This window comes from Homo sapiens, chromosome 12 (assembly GCF_000001405.40).
Source record: "Homo sapiens chromosome 12, GRCh38.p14 Primary Assembly".
Classification (NCBI taxonomy): domain Eukaryota; kingdom Metazoa; phylum Chordata; class Mammalia; order Primates; family Hominidae; genus Homo; species Homo sapiens.
This window is the reverse complement of record NC_000012.12, coordinates 105,744,245-105,767,544: the sequence shown is the minus strand read 5'-3', so window position 1 is coordinate 105,767,544 and position 23,300 is coordinate 105,744,245. Positions and strand designations below refer to the sequence as shown.

The following is a 23,300-nucleotide window of genomic DNA, read 5'->3' as shown; positions in this document are numbered from 1 at the left end:
CCTCTGGCCAGGCCACAGTGTGTGTTGTTCCCCTCCCTGTGTCCATGCGTTCTCATATGACATTCTTCACAGAATTAGAAAAAAACTACTTTAAAATTCATATGGAACCAAAAAAGAGCCCATATAGCCAAGACGATCCTATGCAAAAAAAAAAAAAAAAAAAAAAAAAAAAAAAAAAAAGCTGGAGGCATCACGCTACTTGACTTCAAACTATACTACAAGGCTACGGTAACCAAAACGGCTGGTACTGGTACAGAAATAGACACATAGACCAATGGAACAGAATAGAGATCTCAGAAATAAGACCGCACATCTACAACCATCTGATCTTTGACAAACCTGATAAAAATGAACAGTGGGGAAAGGATTCTCTATTTAATAAACGGTGCTGGGAAAACTGGCTAGCCAAATGCAGAAAATTGAAACTGGACCCCTTCCTTACACCTTATACAAAATTAACTCAAGATGGATTAAAGGCTTAAATGTAAAACCCAGAACTATTGGTGGGAATTCTGATATTATTAATTCACAGTCTAATATGTTCTAAAAAACCAAAACCACATAGCACTATACATTCCATCATAAATATTTTATCAGCAAATATTTATGGGCATCCACTATATGCCAGGTTTGTAATATGAAGATTTTTAAAGGAGAGATAGAAGTTGCTATGGGGATCGTAATAAAGAGTCTAACCAAATCTCTCTCTTTTTAATAAATATGGCAAGGAGTGGAGGCAAGTTATTGGAAAAAGCTGGAAGAAGAAGCCCTCAGGGAATTAACAGTAAAATGCCAGGATGGGCCATTTCAGTTGAGAAAAGGTAAGCCTTGGGCCAAGATGGAATAGGCAGGGGAGAGAAGTAGAAAATTAAATGCTCTGCATAATAGCCTAAGAGTTATAAATGTCTCCAAGGAACATCAAAAGCAAGTAAGTAAAATAACCTAGAATAGAAGGAACTAAGGGAGATTAATGGAAGGAAGGGGTGGGGAAAGAGAGAGAGAGAGAGAGAGAGAGAGACAGTGAAGATTTAGGAAGCCTGGGTCCTGAGAAGGGGTGGCCAGGGAGAAGCTTCCTGTGGGAGGAATGGCACTACTCCCAGCTGTGTCAGTTGTGCACTGCACAACTCCAGGGAGAAATATTGGCAATATCGGCCTCCTGATTCACATAACTATTAGAACAATTTCTCAGCAAATTGTTAAACAAAATTACAGGAGGCCATTTTTGGATTGAACTCGTGCACTAGGCCACAGCAGACCAGACCAAACCAAAATGGAGTCACTCATGCTAAATGTGATATAATCAAACTGAAACTTTAAGGAAGTAGATAGGTTCCGAAACAGACCATGTTTTGTTTAACTGCAGCACAAGGAGGTCCCCTCTACTCTAACCTTTACAAAAAATTGCCTGATGTCCTTGTTCCCAACTTACAAAACCCATTGTTCTGCTATTTCCCAGTGGAACGGGAGAACAAATGAGTACATTTATGATGGTGACAGAACAAATCAACACATAAAGTTGGGGTAATTGTTAAATTAAGTTTAGCCTAAAGCTGACTCCTTATATAGTCTACATTCAGTGTAAATGTTTCTCCATACATAGTGAACTGTAACCTGATTGGAGGTATAAACAGACTGTAACATATTCTTGCGCCAATCACCAAGTTTTGGTCAATCAAAGACAGCCAGCTGTTTAAACTGTGTTCAAATAAGCCAAACACTGGGCTATAACAAATCCGGCTATTTCTGTACCTTACTTCCTTTTTCTGTCCATAAATCTTTCATTTTGTGAGTATGTTGTAGCCTCTGAACCTATTCCGGTTTGGGGGCTGCCTGATACACGAATCATTCTTTGCTCAACTAAACTGTGTTAAATTTAATTTGTCTAAGGTTTTTCTTTTAACAAGATGATAATAAAGACCTTGAAGGATGCACTCTTTTTAAGTTCACAGAAAGTTGTCTTTTGGACTAGCAGAGCTATGTGGTCAGGGGAATTTTGAGAATAGCTGTTCACCTTTATATTGCTTCTGGCAATTGCTCTTGGGCATCACCCCAAAATCTCCACTTAAATTACACTATACATAATTTTCTTTTATGGTTAGGATTTTGGAAAACTCAGGGAAAAGTTCAGGTTGGTGGACATAGGGTGGTAGAGAGGAGAAGCTCTACAAGGAGACGTCAGGAAATGGAGAATTCAGTAGAAACCTGGACTCCCCAGGAAACTCTTAAGTACCTGGGGAATCCCTGCAGATGTGAGGGGTTGGGAAGACACAGAACAGTTTCCACTTCTGTGAAATGAGAGTTCAAGCAGTCTCTATTTAAATATCACAGAACAGGGTAACTCCAGTAGGCTGGAGAACTTGGGGTCTCCAAAAGAAACCAACATCGGTATTGTAGGTACTAGCAATATCAGATGTGTCTTTCAAATAAAACCTCCTCCTGCCCCACAGATACTCAAGCTATTCTGTTAGTCTCTCATCCTTAAAGGCACACACAAAAGGGAGCAATTGCTTTTTAAACTCTGCCTGCTAGACAGGGTCTGATGAATACATTTCCAGACAATGTTGCCAAGAAGCTTGGAACCGTCTTTCTCCTACCCAAGCTCCTGACGAGTCGAAAAACCCTGTGATCTCCGTGGACCTCAGGTAAAAACACCTGTCTTGCCTCTCCAATCAGCTGTGATCAAAACAATAACAAGAGCTTCCTTGGATGCAAACCTCCTTGGAAAATGTAAAAGGGCCATAGAAACAGAGGAAATTAATTATGCAAAGGGACATTTTCTTGTCTATGGACTACGCAGAACCACATTCAGAACCGCAAGGGACCTTGGGATAGGCCATCCTTCTCTGCAGAGGGAAGATGCAGGACTGGTCTAAGTGGCTGCAGCTGCTCGGAAGTGGCCCTCACTGGGGCCCAGGAGGTGTCCTAACAGTCCACAGCGAAAGTTCTCATTTTACTTGAAAGTACGGCTTTCTCCACCCCTCACCACCCCCAGAATTTGTAATCTAGATTTTAAACCACATGTAGTCATGCCAAACATTTTTTTCTGAGATTGTCAAACGTTTGTAGTTAATTATCAGTTGGAATCGGTGTAACAAAATCTGCATTTCTATGCTGGATTTTATTAAAATGCCTCTGATATCAGCCGGGGGCTGTGGTTAGTGTGCTGCTAGTACATGCAATGAGGTTTTTCCTTCTCCTCTGAGGAAAACCCCAACAGGCTTTATAAATCAGTACTATCAACTGGAATGGCCCAGACTTACCGTAAGAAAGCGCTATCACTTCCACTTTTAAGAAACAATGTACTAATTCCTGGCTTCTTAATTAGGAAGGCTTTTTGGGACTTTGAAGAAAAAAATGTAATACCTAATAAATATACTAAGGAACAAGCACGATTAATGACAGTTCAGAAGGATTCTCCAAGCTGGTTTCTTACAGCTCAGGAATCTACATTTACTTCTCAGGAAAATCCAGCTTCCATGAGGGCTATAATGAATGCACAGAGAAACTCAAAAAATACAAAAGAAATTCTCACTCTGGGATTTGACTCAAGGCTTAAGCCTTCCTTGAATAGATGGGGTAGGCTAAAAAGCCACTCGTGACACTCATTGACTTCTTATTCATTGCATTGGAAACTATTATGAGGGCATAGTGAGGGTGGGAGTGGGAGCCCAGAGATCACCTTCCTCCTGCAGAGAGGGAAGGAAAACAGCTTGGGTCCTGGCATCTTCTTAGGACTTCTGAACCTAATCAACATATTAACTCTGGAAGATGTAATCAGACCAGAATGTATCCCCCAGTCACTCTTTTTTTTTTTTTTTTTTTTTTTTTTTTTTTGAGACAGGGTCTCGCTCTGTTGCCCAGGCTGGAGTGCAGTGGTGCAATCTCAGCTCACTGCAAGCTCCACCTCCTGGGTTCACGCCATTCTCCTGCCTCAGCCTCCCGAGTAGCTGGGACTACAGGTGCCCGCCACCACGCCTGGCTAATTTTTTGCATTTTTAGTAGAGACGGGGTTTCACCGTGTTAGCTAGGATGGTCTCGATCACCTGACCTCGTGATCCACCCGCCTCAGCCTCCCAAAGTGCTGGGATTACAGGCGTGAGCCACCGCGCCCGGCCCCCAGTCACTCTTATCTCTCCTTCCATCTGTGGCCACAGAGAAATAAGTCTCTCTTTGTATGAAACACCCCCATTCATTAACTCTTGGGAAGCTATCCCCTCCTCAGCTTTTCCAATACATCACTCTACCTCATTGTACAGTATCTTAATCACTCCAGCTTCTTGCCTCCATAGACCTGCTCATGCCTTCTCCATCCAAAGATGGATTTCTACTCATTTCCTTCCATCACCTGAATTTCCAAATCATGCTGCCTTCACCTCCTTATGTAACATATACTGTCACCCATGGCAATCTCACTCACTGCTTGCCCATGAGACTTCTGAGAATCACCATGTACCTTCCATTGCCCACATCCTAAAAATCTCTTTTCAGTAATTACTGGGATTTACCGTTTTACTGCAATTATTTTCACACTGATGTTTTTGACATTCCTTCTTCCCACCAGTTGTATGATAATGGTTTTTCCTTCTCCTGCTACTTCCAGTTGCTCTTTTTCCACTTACACTGTCAGTTCTTTCTCTTTAAAGGTCCTTTAAATGTAGGGTGGTCAGAGGATTTCATCCATGCTTTTCCATGATATGAGTTTCTTCATCTGTAAAAGGAAGATGATGATGTTGCTGGTAGAAATATGAAATGGTGCAGTCACTTTGGAAAACAGTGTGACCATTCCTAAAAAAAGTTAAAACATAGAGTTACCATTTGACCCAGCATTTCTACTTCCAGGTATATACCCAAGATAATTTTTTAAAATACATGTTAACACAAAAACTTGTATACAGTTATTCATAGCAACATGATTTATAACAGCCAAAGAGTGGAAACAAATGTCCGTCAACAGATGATGGATAAACAAAGTGTGATGTATACACACAATGGAATATTAGTCATACAAAGAAATGAAGTGCTGAAACATACTACAGCATGAATAAACCTTGAAAACACGCTACAGCACATGAATGAAGCCAGTCACAAAAGACTACATTCTGTATGATTCTGTTTATATGAAATGTCTAGAGTTGGAAAATGTATAGTGATAGAAAGTGGATTACTAGTAGTCTAGTGACAGGGGAAATGATGAGGGATTAGGGATAATAGCTCTCTTAGTCCAATTATGCTGCTATAAGAAAATACCACAGACTGGGTAATTTATAAAGAACAAAAATTTACTTCTTACGGTTCTGAAGCCACCAATTTTGGTGTCTGGCGAGGGCTGTTCTCTGCTTCCAAGATGGCACCTTGCTGCTGTGTCCTCATATAGCAGCAGGTGGAAGGCAAGAGGGGCAAACTCTCTCTGAAGCCTCTTTTATACAGGTAGTAATCCATTCATAAGGGTGGAGTCCTCATGACTTAATCACTTCCCAAAAGGCCCTCCTCTTATTACCACCTTAATGAGTATTAAGTTTCAACATACTCATAACTTTTTAAGAGACGCCACATTCAAAGCAAAGCAATAGCTAAAGGTTACAGAGGGGCTTTTTTTTGCAGTGATTAAAAATTTTCTAAAATAGTGTTGATAATTGCACAACTCTGTCAATGTGCAAAAAAACCACTGAATCGTACACTTTAAATGGATGAATTGTTTGGTATGTAAATTATATCTCAATAAAGCTGTTACAAAAACAAACAAGCAAAAAATGTTAAGAAAACAAAACACAAAGAGGAAGAGGATGATACAACTACCTCATCAAAGGTTTGGGGCAGATTGATAAAATGAGGCATGAGCATCCCACAGCACAGTAACTAGCTCATAAGGAGGGCTCAAAAACTGCTAGATATTGATATTGTTTTTCCACTTTCTTTAGTTACATCTTATGTTCACAGTTCCTTTCATTGCAAGAAACAGAAAACTCCATAAACAGAGAGCAGAGTGTGATTCAAAGAACTCACAAAATTCAGGGGCTGGAAGCAAAGTTTCATGCATTCTTTTACATGTATCTCATGCTAATTCATAATAAAAATACTTTCAAAGAGTCATTAATGGGTCTAGTTGAGCTTGGTTCTTATTAAATATTTATAGAGCTGGCAACCAGCTTATCCATACAGGGAATTAGACAATAGAAGCTGCTCCTTTTGTATCTGGGTGTTTATATTGTTTTGTTTGGCAGAGTACCAGGAAAGTTAGGTTTGAAATAGAATCTTTGGAGGAGAGGTGGTTAGGATTCCCAACGCTCCTTTTTGTCCCTTTTTTAGTAAGTTTTGAGTAACCTTCCTGTACTTGGTGCATACTGTCCCTAGGAGGATAGTGATGATATCTCATGATTTGAGTAGTAAACTTCCTTTAGGAATACTTAACTGTGGAGTCATTGAGATCATTGTTCCCTTAAATGTGCATTTAAATACCAAATGCTAATCTTTTATTGAAACTAGAAAAACATAAAAGTTTACATAGTGAAGGTGTAGGCCCTACACCTAAGGGATACATTTTTCATGTATAAAATTACTATGATGTGTCTCTTCCTTTTCATAACTTTTATCAGTTATTTATCACTGCTTTATTTGTCTATAGGACTTAGTTGTTTTGTAAAATGTGATGACATAAGCTCTGGGTAGAGATCGTATTTGTCTTGTTCACTGTTTAATACCCAGCCAGAACTTAAATCATAGACGGTACTTTTAAAATATTTGTGAATGAACAAATGAATAGTGTATATACATAAAATATATTAATAGTATGTATAAAATATATGATACTACAGAGACCTACACACATATGCGTCCACACATGTGCATCTACAGTCTGGGGCTCAAGTTCAGCTTGGGTGAAATCTGTGATGGTGAATTTTATGTGTCAACTTAACTGAAATGTGGGGTACCCAGATATTTGGCTAAATACTATTTCTGGGCATGTATGTGAGGGAGGATATTAGCACTTGAACTGGTAAACTCTAAAGCAGATTACCCTCCCCAAAGTGGGTGGCATCATCCAAGTCATGAGGGCCTGAATAGAACAAAAGGTGGGGAAGGGAAAATAGGTTCCTTTTTCCTGATTGACTGATCTGGGACATTGTTCTTTTCCTGCCCTTGGACTGAGATGTACACCATTGAGTCCCCTGGTTCTTAGGGCTTTGGACTTGGACTTAACTATACCACCATCTTTTCTGGGTCTCCAGCTTACAGATGGCAGACTATGGGTCTTCTTCCTCCTCCATAATCATGTGAGCTAATTTCTCATACTAAACCTATCTGTCTCTCTATCTATCTACCCATCAGTATGTATATATTTACCAACATCTATCTATCTATCTATCCATCATTATCTATATATTTACCAATATCTATCTATCTATCTATCTATCTATCTATCTATCTATCTATCTATCTATCTATCCCATCCATCCACCCATCCTATTGGCTCTGTTTCTCTGGAGAACCTTGACTAGTATGAAACCCTTATAGCTGCTCCATGTAGTTGTGCCCAGACTTGGACTGTGATTCTTGAGCCTGCTCTTTCTATAATGTTCTTTTTTTTTTTTTTTTTTTCAAAACACTCGAATCCATGTTGAAATACCAGAAAATGAGGATGCCGATAAGGGAAATGGGACTATGGTCATGTAGGAACCACCACCTGAACAGCTCGGCCCCCTATCACTTTCTTTTCTCCTGTGAGAATTCACCCCCTTCACTAATTGGACCCATACCTCTCCCCAGCGATCGTACGATGTGCTTGTAATCTCAATATAGAGATGCATTAACTAATAAAAGGCTTCCACCATAACATCTCCAATGAATAAATGAGTTTCAGATTTTTTTTGGCAATTGTAATGATTCTTTTGTAAAGGAGGTTTCATTCTTTTCCATGGGCAGTGGCATTTTATCAATACAGTTAAACCTTTAATATGCCTTTAATATGGCTTTTAAGAGAGACATACAATGGTTTTAGCCAAGGATGATTTTGATGACTGTGAGCGTCAAAGTTGTTGGTGGTCCTCAGCTGGATGCTCACCTGGGACTATCATCCAGGGGCTTTGGCTTTTCTTCACATGGCTTCTTGGACTTACACGGAACATGGCATCTGGGTTCCAAGAAAGAGCACTCCAAGTGGACAAACCCAGTATACAAGCACTGGTCCAGCGTCTGCTGTCTTCATCCTTGCCAATATTCCAGTGGCCAAAGCTAACATGGCCAAGACCAGAGGCAACGTTGGGAAGGCTGGCACAAGAGTTGGAACGCTAGGAGTCATGGTTTATTGAGGATCACCAAAGTAACAGTCTTCATGATGAGAGAAACTGTAAATATTGGGCAAGTTTTTAGAAGACCAATTTTTCCTCTTGTCAGTTTTTCTTTGGTAGCTCCTCTATAACACTTACAAGCCTTAGAAGGTAAATGTACTCACCAAACATCAGACTAAATGCCTAATCCTTTGCTAGGTGCTAGAAGTTTTTCATAGGATAAAACTACATGTGGCTTCAAGGAGATTATGGTCATGTTAGGGAGATGGGCACGTGAATATACAATTACAAAACAGTGTGATGATAAAACAAAAGTGTATGCCTTTCAAGGTAAAATGAGAGCCCAGGGGAAGGAGTACCTAAATCTGCTTGAGGGAGGAGAAGGAGGCATTTTCCAACTGAATAAGAGTGGGGAAAGAATAGTCTAGCAGGGTGAAATAGGATATACCTTCCTTGTAGTCCTTGTATTGCTCTAGTGTATAAAGGATGTATGTGTGTGTATGTGAGACTGAGAAGAGGTGCTTACAAGATACAGTTGGACAGATATGTATAGACTAGATCAGGAAGGATCTGGTATTCCATGCTAAAATGTTTCAGGCCCCCGCTCCCACTTATCGAGGATGGGAATCCATAGGAGACTTTGTCAGAGGAGCAGGGATTGGATGTGTGCATTACACAGATTGGTCAACTCTGTATCCTGTCTTGGTGTTGGTTTGCTTCCCACCGTTCTTGTAGCGTGACATGGTGCTTCCACTCATTTCCCCAAAAGAACAATCTCCTCAACAATACATTAGTGAAAAATGAAGATTTTTCTCTACATTTGTACAATGTAGAGATTTCTACGTCACTACAGAAACTGGAAGTTTCATGTGTCAGATTGGGGAGGAAGTCAGATTTCAGGGTGTACAGAATGACACTCCTCAAATCCCCGTTCCTCATTCCCTCCTTTGGCTCCTAGCTGAGTCCCCATCTTTCTCTGCGTCCTCTCCCTTCCAAGCCTGTAATTTCCTCTGACTCTAGGTCTTTATTCAGGAATCATGCTTCCTTGCTCCCCATCCCTCTATCTCTTCCTCTTTCTCATGCAGAACAATTGAGCGCTATTCTAGCACTTCCATTCCCATCACTTTACTCAGCAAAGAAAGACCTGCCAAAGAAAGATCTTCCTACACTTTAAGAGGCATCAGCGTTTATTAATTATATAAATAAAATATTAGTATGTATTTCTGATGTATCTGTAAAATGTCACTTTGTATGCAAGATGAAGAATGCATTGGGTTGAGGACAGCAGTGAGGCTAACCACAGAGAAGACTAATAAGGAAAAGATTACATTAGCATAGAAAAAAAATCTGTGGAGAGCCTGAGATAGGAGCTAAGATGGTGATGGAAAGGGTAGATATGATAGTAATTAGGAGGCAGAATTAAGTGGACTTTGCCATGAATCCAGGCCATAACGGTGATTAAGAAATACAAGTGTTGCTCCTTCAAGAAGAATAAAATTAGTTAAGAATTGGGACCATTTGTTGAGCCAGTCCTAGGAAGATAAATAACAGAATGATAGAGAATTAAGCAATATGTTGCTATGGTGCTCCTAGGATTCAACTCCCCCATCAACCATATTGGAAGCATCAGGTCCATCAATAAATAATGAAACTGATGTTTTAAAACACCAGATCTCACACATCCAAATAGGTGTTGGCCCCTAAGTCATCATGGCAACTGTCACTTATTCCAACAATACTGCCTGTGTTGAAATCTTTCCTGAACTCTTTGGCATCTGCATTTGCAGCCGGGATATGAGACACCCAATAGTCTGGTCTCATTACTCGATGGTGACTTATGTTTCCACTGGATAGCTTTAGCCACCATGAACATCCAAATTGCTTTCCAGACACCAAGACCAAGCCTCCAACTTAGGAAAATAAATTGACACCTGAGGATGGAAGATTCTCAGCTGAAGCTCATGGTTGGAAAAATGGCCACAGCGGCAGGCAACAGGCTTGTAAGGAAGAGAAGCTGGGCAGGCAAAGTCATTCCGCCCTGCTCTTCATTTCCAGCTTTCTGAGCCCCACACATCATCAGAATGTAATCTGGGCAACCTCACCGGCTATGACACTTCATTCCTAGGATAGGAGAGGCAAAACTGGCTCAAAGAGAAGAGGAAAGGACACAGGAGCCTGGAAATAAGCTTTCCTCAAAAAGTGCTACTGTTGGATTACGACAGAATGAAGCTGAAAACACATTTTTCCCTTGGTAGCCTCATGGTTCAGCTGCAGGATGTGCTTGAACTAGGGAAGGATGGGCATTTTGGAGCAGTCCAGTTTCAGTGGGCAGTCCAGGTAGTTTCAGTATGGGCTGAATAGACATTCCCAGTTGTTAAAAAAGGAAAATAAATGAAAGTATCAGAAAATGGGAGCTTTGTGTGTATTTAACAAAATGCATTAAATACATGCAAAATGATTAGTACAATGTCAGACAAATAAAATTTTCTCACTTGGTAGTAAATAAATCTTCAGGAAAAATTTAAGCTGGGTGTGGTGTTATATGCCTGTAGGCCCAGCTACATGGGATGCTGAGGTAAAAGGACCACTTGAGCCTGGGAATTGAGGCCAGCCTGGACAACATAGCAAGACTCCATTTCAAAACAAATATTAAAGGCCAGGTGCGGTGGCTCACGCCTGTAATCCAGCACTTTGGGAGGCCAAGGTGGGCGGATCACAAGGTTAGGAGATCGAGACTACCTTGGCTAACACGGTGAAACCCTGTCTCTACTAAAAATACAAAAAAAAAAAATTAGCCGGAGTGGTGGTGGTGGGCGCCTGTAATCCCAGCTGCTCAGGAGGCTGAGGCAGGAGAATGGCGTGAACCTGGGAGGCGGAGCTTGCAGTCAGCCGAGATCGTGCCACTGCACTCCAGCCTGGGTGATAGAGCGAGACTCTGTCTCAAAAACAAACAAACAAAAAAATTAAAAAAAGAAAGTCATGGGGATTTGTCTGTGCTTTTTGTTTTTTTCTTAATGGAAATACAGATAGTACAATAACTACCATATTCTGGCCACAGACCCTACAGCTTCCACATAGACTGCTAATTTCAGATAATTACCTTTTGTTTATTCCACATTTATATATATATAATATATATAATATTATATTATAGTACTTTGCATGTCCCAAGAGACTGTTGTAACCATCATACATTGTATCATTTAATCCTGATAATGGTCTTATGAGAGCTAGATACTCTTGTTATTATCACCATTTTACAGATGAGAAAACTGAGGCCTAGAGGGGTTGAATAACTTGCCTAAGGTCACTCAGCTAATCAATAGTAGAGACTGTGCTCTTAAGCATCACAATTTTCTGTCTTTTGAAAATCAATTTTGGCAGCCTTTTCATTCTTGTTCACATCCTGCTCACATCTTTTTGCTCACATCTTGCTCACATCCTTGCCCACATCTTTTTTCACCCAGGGTTTTCAATTTTTTGTATTTATACAGTGGACCAAGGAATAAGTTGGGCCTCTGGGTTCCCTAGATGGAACAGTTAAAACAAAACCAAAAAAAACCCTTAGTTTATTAGCGCTACAGACACCTTGGTGATGAATAGCCCAGGTGCTGCAAAACATTTTTTTTCTTTGAAGAGATCTCATTTTTAGAACAGTTTTAGATTTACAGAAAAATTGTAAAGATAGTACAGAGAGTACCCATATACCCCACACCAATTCTCCCTATTTTTAACATCTTACATTATTATGGTGCATTTGTTACAATTAATCAATCACGGTTCATAAACTATTATTAACTTAGTTTATTCAGATTGTTATTCAGATTGCCTTAGTTTTTACCTAATGTATTTTTTCTGTTCCAGAATTCCATCTAGGATGTCACATTAATTTAATAGTCACATCTCCTTAGGTTCCTCTTGATAGAGATTCTTAGACTTTTCTTGTTTTTGGTGACTTTGACAGTTTTGAAGAGTACCGGGCAGATATTGTGGAGGACATCCCTTAGTATGGTTATAGATGATGTTTTCCTCAGATTAGACTGGAGCGATCTGTTCTTGGGATGAAGACCACAGAGGTAAAGTATCATTTTCATCACATCATATCAAGGGTACCTACTATTGATACGGACAGGAAGCAGGGAAATACCGGATAGGAGAGAACGGTTCCTCAGCAAAGGCCCCACCCACGAGCCTCAGCCTGCCGTCCTAAATGAGAACTTCACACCCATATTCTCCTGCCCAAATGTTGCTTTTTCCAAAACCACCCTGGCCCACCACGCCCCCATCCTGTACCCATAAAAAACCTAAACTCCACTGGCAGAGGAGCAGAGCAGCACAGTAGAGGAGAGAAAATAAGTGCCTGAACATTGAAGAGACAGCTAAATGGTCAGAAAGGAGTTCGGCCAGGGATGGCCTAACTCCAGGGGAAGATTGACTTCCCACTCCATCCCTTTTCCAGTGCCCCATTCAGCTGAGAGCCACCTCCATCACTCAAAAAAACCTCCACATTCACCATCCTTCAAGTCTTTGTGACCTGATTCTTCCTGGACACCGGACAAGGAACTGGTACCAAAAGGGCAGAGTGTAAAAGGCTGTCACCCCGACTCTCCACTGAGCTGGTTAATACTTAGCTATCTGTGGACAGCAACTGCTAAAAGAGCATTAATTGTAACACACCCCTAGGTGCTACCATGGGGCCAGAGGCCAAAAGTTACTTGCCCCGGCCCCGGCACCCACCACCTACTTGCTCCCGCTCCTGCAAGGAGTTTGAGCACAGTGGCCGAGTAAGAAAGCCCCACCCCTGTCACAAGTCCCACGAAGGGGTCCAGGGAACTCTCTGTCTCAACATCACTGTTGACGTTGGCCTTGATCATGTGGCTGATAGTTCCAAAATCTGTGTTATGGCTGAGTCTGGTTTTGCTGCTCAGATTGACTCTTCAGACTGTTTCCCCTTGACTTTTAGAATGCCTTGCAATTTTTTGTAGAAAGCTGAATATGTTGTATCTGGTAATAGGAACAAAGGTAAATAGGCCTCTAATGTGAGGATGTATGTTAACCTGGCTACATGTTGGACTGCGTTTAATGTTTGCTGTATCTGTGGGTGCCACAGGCTTCAAATTCGTCTCTCTTGTCCTTGTTTTGGGTTTTCTATTGTCTTTGGGCTTCCTAAGAACTCTCCAGATTTCAGGGTGGTGGTTTCCTCTGTAATCTCAGATCTCTGATGGGTCTAAGAAAAATAATTGCTTTTCAGTTTTTTCATCTTTTTTCTCATTGTGAGGATGGGAGTGACAACTTCTAAGCTCTTTACATGTTGAAGCTGAAACCAGAATCTTCCTAAACACTTTTAAGATCAAAAATATTTTCTCAAATAAAATCTCTTGTATCTGAGGTGACTCTCATCATTGTCCAACTCAATCCAGGTGCTACTGCTGGAGAATTTCTCATCTATATCTCCTGGTCCCATTGGGTATCAAGAGCACCACCTTCTCACCCATGCTGTTTCAGGGGATTTACAAGTGTCCTGAGTCATTAAAAAGCAGTGTGTCCAATTGGGTAGTGAGGATCAGAGCTGCAAAATTTTAAGAGCATGAGCAGGAATCTTTTCAGCTGGAAAATCCAACAAAATTGGTAAGATAGGTGGTGGCAAAAGCTCATCAGACAGAGCAGCTATGTGGTTCCTCCCAGGTGATGGTGGTATGTGTTGCTAATGCAATTGAAACAGATGAGTTGCAGGCTATAGCTTGGCTCCCACAAAGCTCCCTGGTGCCTGCCAGCCTCTGGATTCTGAGCTCCGGTTCCCTCTGTGTGCTTTTCTGTGTACCCTATCTTACCAGCAAGGTTTCCTCTTATTTAACACCCCAAAGGCATCAGATATGGTTTGGCTGTGTCCCCCCACAAATCTTATCTTGATTGTAGCTCCTATAATCCCCACGTGTCATGGGAGGGACCCAGGTGGAGGTCATTGAATCTTGGGGGCGGCTTTTTCCCATGCTGTTCTTGTGATAGCGAATAAGTCTCACGAGATCTGATGGTTTTATAAAGGGCCGTTCCCCCTACACACGCTCTCTGGCCTGCCGCTACGTAAGATGTGCCTTTGCTCCTCCTTTGCCTTCTGCCATGATTGTGAGGCCTTCTTAGTCATGCGGAATTGTAAGTCCATTAAACCTTTTTCTTTATAAATTACCTAGTCTTATGTATGTCTTTATTAGCAGTGTGAGAGCAGACTAATACAGCATCCTTCAAGATCCCACCCTGACCTCTTCCTTCAGCCTACCCTAGCCCAGCTGCCTCTCATCTAGTCTCCTAAGGATGGTGGACCAGGTGGTCTGAAGGTCTGGAGGACTGAAACTTCCTCTCTCCTCTACAACTCACATTGAGGTAGAAAAGTCTCCATTCTTCTCTTGGTGTCCAGATTATTGAGGATCTATTTTCTTTTGATAAAACTTGGCCAGGCATGGTGTCTCACACCTGTAATCCTAGCACTTTGGGAGGCTGAGGCAGGCAGATTGCCTGAGCTCAGGAGTTCGAGACCAGCCTGGGCAACACGGTGAAACCCCGTCTCTACTAAAATACACACACACACACACACACACACAAAATAGCCAGGTGTGGTGCCGTGCACCTGTAGTCCCAGCTACTCAGGAGGCTGAGGCAGGAGAATCGCTCTAACCCAGGAAGCGGAGGTTGCAGTGAGCCAAGATTTTGCCACTGGCTGGAGGGGACCAAGGAAGGGGTCAGAGCTCTGCACACTTAGCCTTCTTCACAACTTTCCAGTTCACTGAAATCACACTTAAAAGGCAATCAATGGCCCTCATGATACCAAATCCAGTGGTCACTTCTCAGTCCTCCTCCGTCTTGCCCTGTTAGCAGCATTGGCTACGGCTCATCACATCCTCTTCTTTGAAGGCTTGTCCCCTTAGTTTAGGATGCCCCTTTCTCAATCTTCTTTCTATCTTGCAGGTTGTTCCTCCTCAGCCTCTTTTACTGGGTTCTCCCTTCTTCCCTGTCATTAAATGCTGTTGTGATCCATAGCCCAGTCTGCTATGCATACTTATTCCCTACTTAAGCTCAGTCAGTGTCACCACTTAAACACCATCCCTAATGCTGATGAGCCACTAATTTCTTTCTCCAGTTCAGACAGCTTCTCAGCATGCTAGACTTATAAAGCAAATGTCTACTAGCTACACATGTCTACTATTACATCACATGTCTACTAGCTATTGAACTTAAAGTGTTCAAAACCAAACTCCTTACCGCCCCCCAAACCTGCTCCTCCTCCCAGAATTTCGCATCTCTGTAAATGGCAATTAATTTTTCTAGCTTTGCAGGCCATAAGCCTTGCCTCCCTTTTCTCTCCACATTCCATTTATCAGCAAATCCTGCCAGTGTGACTCCACATTTGAGCATTTCTCTTCCACAGTTCTTATGCTGGTCAGGTCACCACCCTCTCTGATCTGGATTTTGCAAAAGTTTTCTAACTGATCTCCCTAATTCCCTCTTGATAATCTACACTCGATTGCTACATTTTTAAATGTTAAGTTGGGTCTTGTCATTCCTTTCCTTCGAACCCTCTGGTGAGTTCCAATAGTCCTACAGGGTTTCCAAGCTCTCTATGACCATGTGCCTCATCAAGTCTCTAACAGTATTCCCTGCCATGCTGTAAGTGACTCCACTTCCCTCACTGGTCCCTTTCTTGTTACTTTTTTTTTTTTTCTGAGACAGAGTTTTGCTCTTGTTGCCCAGGCTGGAGTGCAATGGCACAATCTTGGCTCACTGCAACCTCTGCCTCCGGCGTTCAAGCGATTCTCCTGCCTCAGCCTTCATGAGTAGCTGGGATTACAGGCATGCACCACCATGCCCGGCTAATTTTGTATTTTTAGTTGAGACAGGGTTTCTCCATGTTGGTCAGGCTGGTCTTGAACTCCTGACTTCAGGTGATCCACCTGCCTCGGCCTCCCAAAGCGCTGGGATTACAGGCATGAGCCACCACGCCTGGCCCCTTTCTTGTTACTTACATATGCCATGCTCACACCCATGATGGCCTTCGCATAGGCTGTTCCTTCTACCTGGAGAATTCCACCCTACCCACCTGCATGACTCTGCCCCTCACCGCCTTCAGGCCTGGCTTTGTCACACCACCATAAGTCCTTCCCTGGCCAGCTAGTTAGCATAGCACCCTGTCTCCCTGTGTCCTTATCCAGTTTGTTATTCTTCTCAGCACTGACAATTACCTGAAATAGATTATGTGTTACTGTTGGTCTCCTTTATCTATCTATCTATCTATCTATCTATCTATCTATCTATCTATCATTCTGTCTATTTTTGAGACAGAATCTTACTATGTTACCCAGGCTGGAGGGCAGTGGCATGATCACGACTCACTGCAGCCTTGACCTCCTGGACTCAGGTGATCCTTCCATCTGAGCCTTCCAAGTAGCTGGGACCATGGGCATGCACCACTATACCTGGCTAATTTTTCTATTTTTGTACCAGCCAGACCAGGCTGGTCTCAGATTCCTGGCCTTAAGTGATCCATCTGCCTCAGCCTCCCCAAGTGCTGGGATTCCAGGTGTGAGCCACCACCCTGGCTGGTCTCCCTGATTAGAAAGTAAGTAAGCTTAGCAAAAGCAGGTGCTTTTTCTGTTTTTATTCACTGCTCAATCCCTGTTGCTAAGAACAATCCTTGGCACATATTGGGGGCTTAATGAATAATGAATGAATAAACCCTGTAAAGAGGCCCATAAAACACTCCCAGGAAATTCAAACCCCTAAATCCCATTCTTCCATTTTACAGATGAAAACCTGAGGCCCCAAAAGAGAAGTGACTTGGTCAAAGTCACCCAGCAGTTAATGGCAGAGCAAGGCCAGATTCTGAGCCACTCATTTCCCAATCCTGTCCTCTCTCCCTGTGTGTCCCAATGATAGCAGAGGGAATAGATGTCAGCTTCTGCCTATCAGGTGACATTGCAGAGGTTATGGTTCAAAAGGTTATCCCAATAAACTGAAGGCAGAAAGGTCACCAGGTGGCTGAGGCCATGACACTCCCAGAGGAGACGTGATGAGGACCCATCACCTGGTGACTCGGGAAGTCAAAAGGAAGGTCAAAGTCTGGATGACTTTGTGAAAGAAGCTTGTTGGATAATTGAATGTGGTGATAAAAGGCACAGAAAGAAAAAAAATCAAAGTGATAATAAGGAAGGAGGGCCCATTTTTATTTATCTTTGTATCTTCCATGCTAGTACTTAACAGGGGGTACATTTACCCCCAAATGTCTATTGCCAGACCTGGTAATGAGGACCAGAAGGGTCACAATTCATGGTTTTCTAATGAGTCAGGCTTTCTAAGTGCCATGGATAAGAACACAAACTTAGGGTAAGTTACACCTAGGTCAAACCTCATTTCTTTTACCCTCTTTTTGCACAAGTGATCTTGGGCAAAAAAATTATCCTTTCTAAATCTCAATTTTCCCATCTCTAAACCTGGATAATATATGCAAAAGAGAAAGACAGAAGGAGAGAGAGAAAGAGAGAGAGAGCGAGTCAGAGAGAGAAAGAGAGAAAGGGAGAGAGACTAACTACAATCATGTGTATGATGTGCTTACTTAGCGCAAGGCTCAGCACATGTGAGGCCCTCAATAAATGCTCACTTTTCTTTACTACCTCAATGGCTTCTGTCTTCTCTTGAAATCCATGCCCTCTCATTTCTAGTTCTGCAATGTTGAGATCCTGGCTCCTCCCTGCTCCTTCTCAAAGGGGATCTATTGAGAAGAGGAGGGCTGCTATGATTAAATCTCCTTCCCACCTCTGAATTTGAGATGAATTTGGTGCTTTCCATCTGCTCAGCTGGCAGACTTTTCACGAGGGCCTGGGCATCATAATAAATGCATGAATCACATCACCTCTGCTGTATAGTCATGAGAGTAACGTGGGAGCCAGATGTGAATGACCCCAGGGTGGACCTGCTATTAGTGTTTCCAAGTGGTGACGACTTGCTCCCATTCCCATACATATCTCCAACTCTGTGTTGATATCTCACCTTTGATAGTGGCTTTGATTCCGGAGAACTGTTTGAGCCTCATCTCTGGACTCAGAGCAGATGGGAGGGCCTTGGTGTTTCATTTTGAGAACAAGAGAAAAGCTGCATTTCTATCCTGTGCTTGCTCACAGGAGCAGCCCACATTTCACCCTTCGCAGAATCCTGTGTTGTTCCCATCTGAGGCCTGCCAGCTTCGGAGGTTAAGTCTCTGAGACGAAAGGAAAGCGGGGGCTGGAAGAATTTTGGAGGGAGTCCAGGACTGCCTGGCCAAGCCAACCCAAATAACTCAAGCAAGCAAAAATCTGCTTGGGCCTGAACTGGCTGTCTAGACAGTTGTGATTATATGCAGGTAGCTATATGACCTTGCACTTCATTTGGCCCGTGTTGAACTTGTTTAGAGGCACATGCCAGTGAGTGTCTTGGTTTGGGTTCTCCCAGAAACAGACCCATAATGAAGGATTTCAGTGCAGTTAATTTACTTAGGAGGTGATCCTAGAGTATACTAGTGGAGGAATGGGAGCCCAAGATAGAGAAGGGAAAGAAGGTAATAAGGAGTGTGTTGTTCAGCTAGTTACCACTATGGGAAACTGGAACTGAATCTTGCAGGGTGACTAGCAAGGTCATTGTAGAAATGCCTCAGAATCACACCCCAGCAAGAAGGCAAGGAAGTTGGGGTGCTCATCCATCAGCTTTCTTCTGTCATGGTGTCTAAGGGCACATTCAGCCTGCCGGGTGTGCAGACCAAGTTTGCATCCTCTTAGGCAGGGAGTCACAGGTGTGTCCAGTACAGAGCCTTCAGCCTATGGAGAAGAAAGTCTAGGGTACCTGAGTCAGGCATTGCCAATATCTGCAGCCAGTGAGTCAAAACACAAAGCCCGCTAAATCTAAAGTGTCGAACATTTGGACCCAATCCTAGATTGTTGAATGATAGTCATCCACATGTAGAGGATAGGAACCTTGTCACATAATTTTTCCCTCTACCAGGAGTTCCTTCTAAATAATAATGACATCTACCGAGTGCTTACTGTGCACCAGGCACTTAAATTATCTCATTTCATTCTTATAACAATACCAAGAGGTGAGAACTATTAATATTATCACTCACGCTGCATGGATGAAGTTACTGAAGCTCAAAGAGTTCAGGAACTTGCCCAAGGTCACATAATCAATAAGGAATAAAGCCAAGATTTGGATTGAAGCCATCTGAGTCCAGAGCTTGACTCCTCCTTGTCTGTGCCCTCCTGCTCATGTCCTCATGCAGCCTGTGCCAGGGCTCCCTCAGGCCTGGGTGATCCTCATATTGAGAAGTAGTTTTCTTAGCTGCATCTTGCATGGAAAATGGCATTTGCAGAGGTGCTGCTCAGTACTTTCCCACACCTCCTCTTCTGCAATGCTCAGAGCTGCCCTGTGAGTTTGGGGTGAGGATCCCCATGTCACAAGTGAAGAACCTGACTGAGGTTCAGAGAAATGAAGTGACTTGCCCATGCCCCAGCACTGGGGATGCAATGGAGTGAAGTAGGCTGGAGGGTCAGCCACCTGTCACAATTCAGATCAAGAGTTCCCTCTTCCTGACCCTCCTCCCCTTCCTCCCAGGGCAGAAGGAGCCATTCTCTTGTTTCTGACCCACACATATGGTCTCCCAAAGCACTTAGGATATTTTATTGCACACTATTGGTTTATAAATACTTGCTCTTCCACTGGGAATCCTCTGATAACCTTTGAAACTCCAACTCAAAAAAAAATATTGAACAAATCTATGAAAACGCTAAATGAATAAATGAATGAGTGCGACCTATGTTCAAATCTCAGCACTGCCACTTTTCTGTTGAGGGCTTTGGACTCAGAGAAGCCTGGATTTGCCTGCTCTAGACTGTGCCTTGGCACTCAGGCAACCTGGAGCCCCAGGATGGTTCTTGCCTACCAGGAGATCCCAGGAACTGATCCCAGGGCTCACGTCAGTCAGCTCTTGCTCCTTCCCCCACCACCTTTAAAGCTTACTTTGCCTTTTGACTCATTCCTTCAAAGTCTAGCACAGTGATGAAAGCTTCTTGATAAATCTACTCCTCTTAAAGCTTTAATGGCCACTAAGAGCTTAATGTACTACCTTTGCGTAGAAGTTTCTATTTTAACAAGAGAACTAGTAAACACCCAATGCCTTAGCTCATCAGAATAATGAATATAATAACTAATAATTTCTTAGTTGCTGCTATATGCCAAACACTCTTTTAAGAGTTTTATAAGTTTAAGCCTCATACAAATTCTATGAAGTAAGTTGTTAGAATAAATTCTCAAACTTCCATCAAACATCTTCCCACCAGCCTGTCACTGGTGTCTGAAATCTCATCATCTGCTGTATCCTCAATCAGTGAATCCCTGGCACACAGTAGGTGTTTGGGTTCCCCAGGAGTAGACTCTGAGTGAGGATGCAAGTAGAAAGAGTGGACTCGGGAGGTGTAGAAAACACTGGGAGGGGATGGGGAGCTACACAGGGAAGGAAAGCAGATGGTAAAGGATGTGCCATCAGAGCAGCTAATGTCATGGGCCACAGAAGCTCAGTCCCATGGGGACACTGGGATATGGTAGAGAAATGCACCTCAGCATTAGGAGTAAGGGAGCTGAGGTATTTATAAGGAAACTCTTGCCAATCATTGGTGGGGGACTGCTCCAGGTGGCACCAATTCCTCACCTCTTCATCTAGAAGTGGGTGTGGCAGAATGGCTTTGGAGAATCCCTCAAACAAAGAGATACAGATACTGGCAGAAGAAGTTGGCTGGAGTCCACACAAGTGGCAAGGCCCAAAGGAGATGGACAATAACCAACAGCATCTGCCACAGTGTTTTACTAAGTTTTTGTTGAACAAATGAATGAGATGGTAGTGGTGACAGGAGGCTAGGATACCCTGAGTTTCACTGGTTTGGTATGACTCTGAATCTTTCTTATCATCTTAGTGGCTTTCCATTATTTAGGACAACACTACTATAGAACCTCCAGATTCTCTGATCTTGTTGGCGGCAAGGGGAAAATGCTTCACAAGAGTCCCAGAAACACAGACAGACTTCTGGTTTCCAATTGTTCAACCCCCATGATTACATTTTCACCAGTCCTCTGAAGAGTTTATCACAAAATGCCAAGGCCTCTGAAGTAGCTATCAGGAAAGCAAAAAAGACCTAAGAGGACAGATGCCATCAATTTTTCGTGCTTCCTTCCTAGCGAACTCAACCACGACACTAACCTCGGTAACACAAGTCCAGTAGAAACTATGTGCAGTGCATGTTTGGATTAAATTCTCTGTTGATTTTTCTTGATTTATAAGTTAAAACTCAGCCAATGCAAATCTTTCTCCCTACTCTACCAATTTCTGTCTTGAACTAAGTGTTCAATATTTTGTCAACCTATAATTTTTGTTATTTTTAACTTCATAAAATTATTATTATTATTTTTAAAAGAAGCCCTGTGCAAGATTGGAGGATAGTTTTCCTGGTTTTGTTTCCAGAATTATTTCACATTTCTGAATTAATATAGCACCAGGTCCCAAGAATCACATGATCTCATTGCTCTTCCATGTAGGTTTCTCATGTTAGTTTTTTCATGACACATCACACCAGAAAATAGAGCTTTAGATCCACAAACAACAATGGTGATGGTGCTAGGGCCAAGGACAAGGAACGACTGTGATATAATCCCCTCTGGAAGAACTCACCTTCCTTGAAAAGGAATGTTCTCCTCCTCCACCTCCCTCTTCTTACACGTTCTTTGTTTCCAAATGGAACTTGTGTGTGAAAGACTTAATATGCCTTGAATTCCAAGGTCATGTTTCAGAGGAAATTGGAAAGTTGCTCCAAAGGAGAGCCCAAGAAGACATCTGTAGCTTTGAGAAAACAGGAGCAGGTTTTGTGTGCTTTTCACAGGGGGTTGTCCACAGGGACAAACAACAGCTGTTTTAACTGTAAACTAACACTGCCACCTGACTACTTTGAGGTCTGCATGCTAGGAGATTGATAAGCGAAGAAAGGGGTTACTGTAGCACCTCGGGGGCAGTTGACCCTCTCAAGGGGAAACTGAGTTACTACCACATACTGAGGGTAGAGTATATGTATGTGGTTTTATATATATAATTATATATAATATATAAATGTATAATGATATATAAATATATAATGAATAATTATTATATATTATATAATAAAGTAAATATATAATATATAATTATTATATATTTCCTGCCCAGGAAATGGTGATCCTTCCAAGGTGGGTGAACAGCACACTCAAGTTAAGAGAAAATCCTTTTGTTAGGAAGGGAGGGCAAAAAGAGGGCGAGAAGGGGGAAAGAAGGAAGCCTTAGCACATGAATGGATGTGATGGACTTTCAAGTACCCAGAGGTTTCAGCTCACAGGAGACAAATATCAGTAGTGAGCCTGGAGTACTGAAAGATCTAAGAAAAGAAGGCCGGAAGTTCAGCCGTCAGCCTCCAAGCTGTTCCCTTGCCAATCCCCTTCTTTTTTCTCCCTTTCTCTATCACCTCTTCTCTTTCCTCTTCCAAAATAAAAATAGGAAGCATGAAGGTTTTCAGGCTGTTTTTTCCTGGAGTGGCTAAGACTGTTTTTTATTGGCTTGGCAGGATGTTTTGAGATTGTGTGGAGAGGACTCCTCTGTGTGTGTGCCCATGTGTGCATATGTGTGCCTGCCTGTGTGTGTGCGTGTTTTTCTGAGTACTAGGCTTTGGAATTCAAAGTAGCACATACATGCTTCCTTTTTGGTATTGTATATATATTTATATGTTATATATTATATTATATATATTATGTATTATATACATTTTTATTATATATTATATATTATATTATATATTTTATTATATAATATATAATTATTATATATTTGTAATTATATTTAATATATAATTATTAATTATATATTCATATATCATATATAATTTTTCTTTCTTTGCCCCCTCTCCTATTAATTTACTATGTAATACA

The 23,300-nt window shown here is 42.1% G+C and overlaps 1 long non-coding RNA gene across 4 annotated transcripts in view, besides 1 other annotated feature; it reads left to right on the top strand.

The window, feature by feature from the left end:
- Positions 1-646: 646 nt before the first annotated feature.
- Positions 647-23,300, top strand: part of LOC107984435 (uncharacterized) — a 28,065-nt gene continuing 5,411 nt past the window's right edge. For 3 of the 4 annotated variants that reach the window (XR_001749303.2, XR_007063441.1, XR_007063440.1), the window contains exon 1: positions 12,012-12,361. This is a non-coding gene — a long non-coding RNA (uncharacterized LOC107984435). Of the gene's footprint in view, positions 822-12,011; positions 12,362-23,300 lie in introns of those variants that run through there. The other variant, XR_001749305.2, reaches the window with a different exon arrangement.
- Positions 22,455-22,998: an enhancer, noted in NCBI's record as "OCT4-NANOG hESC enhancer chr12:106138325-106138868 (GRCh37/hg19 assembly coordinates)". NCBI's record gives its function as "activates a minimal SCP1, AML or CMV promoter by ChIP-STARR-seq in naive H9 embryonic stem cells {active_cell/tissue: H9 hESC(naive)}" and the evidence as "EXISTENCE:reporter gene assay evidence [ECO:0000049][PMID:30033119]".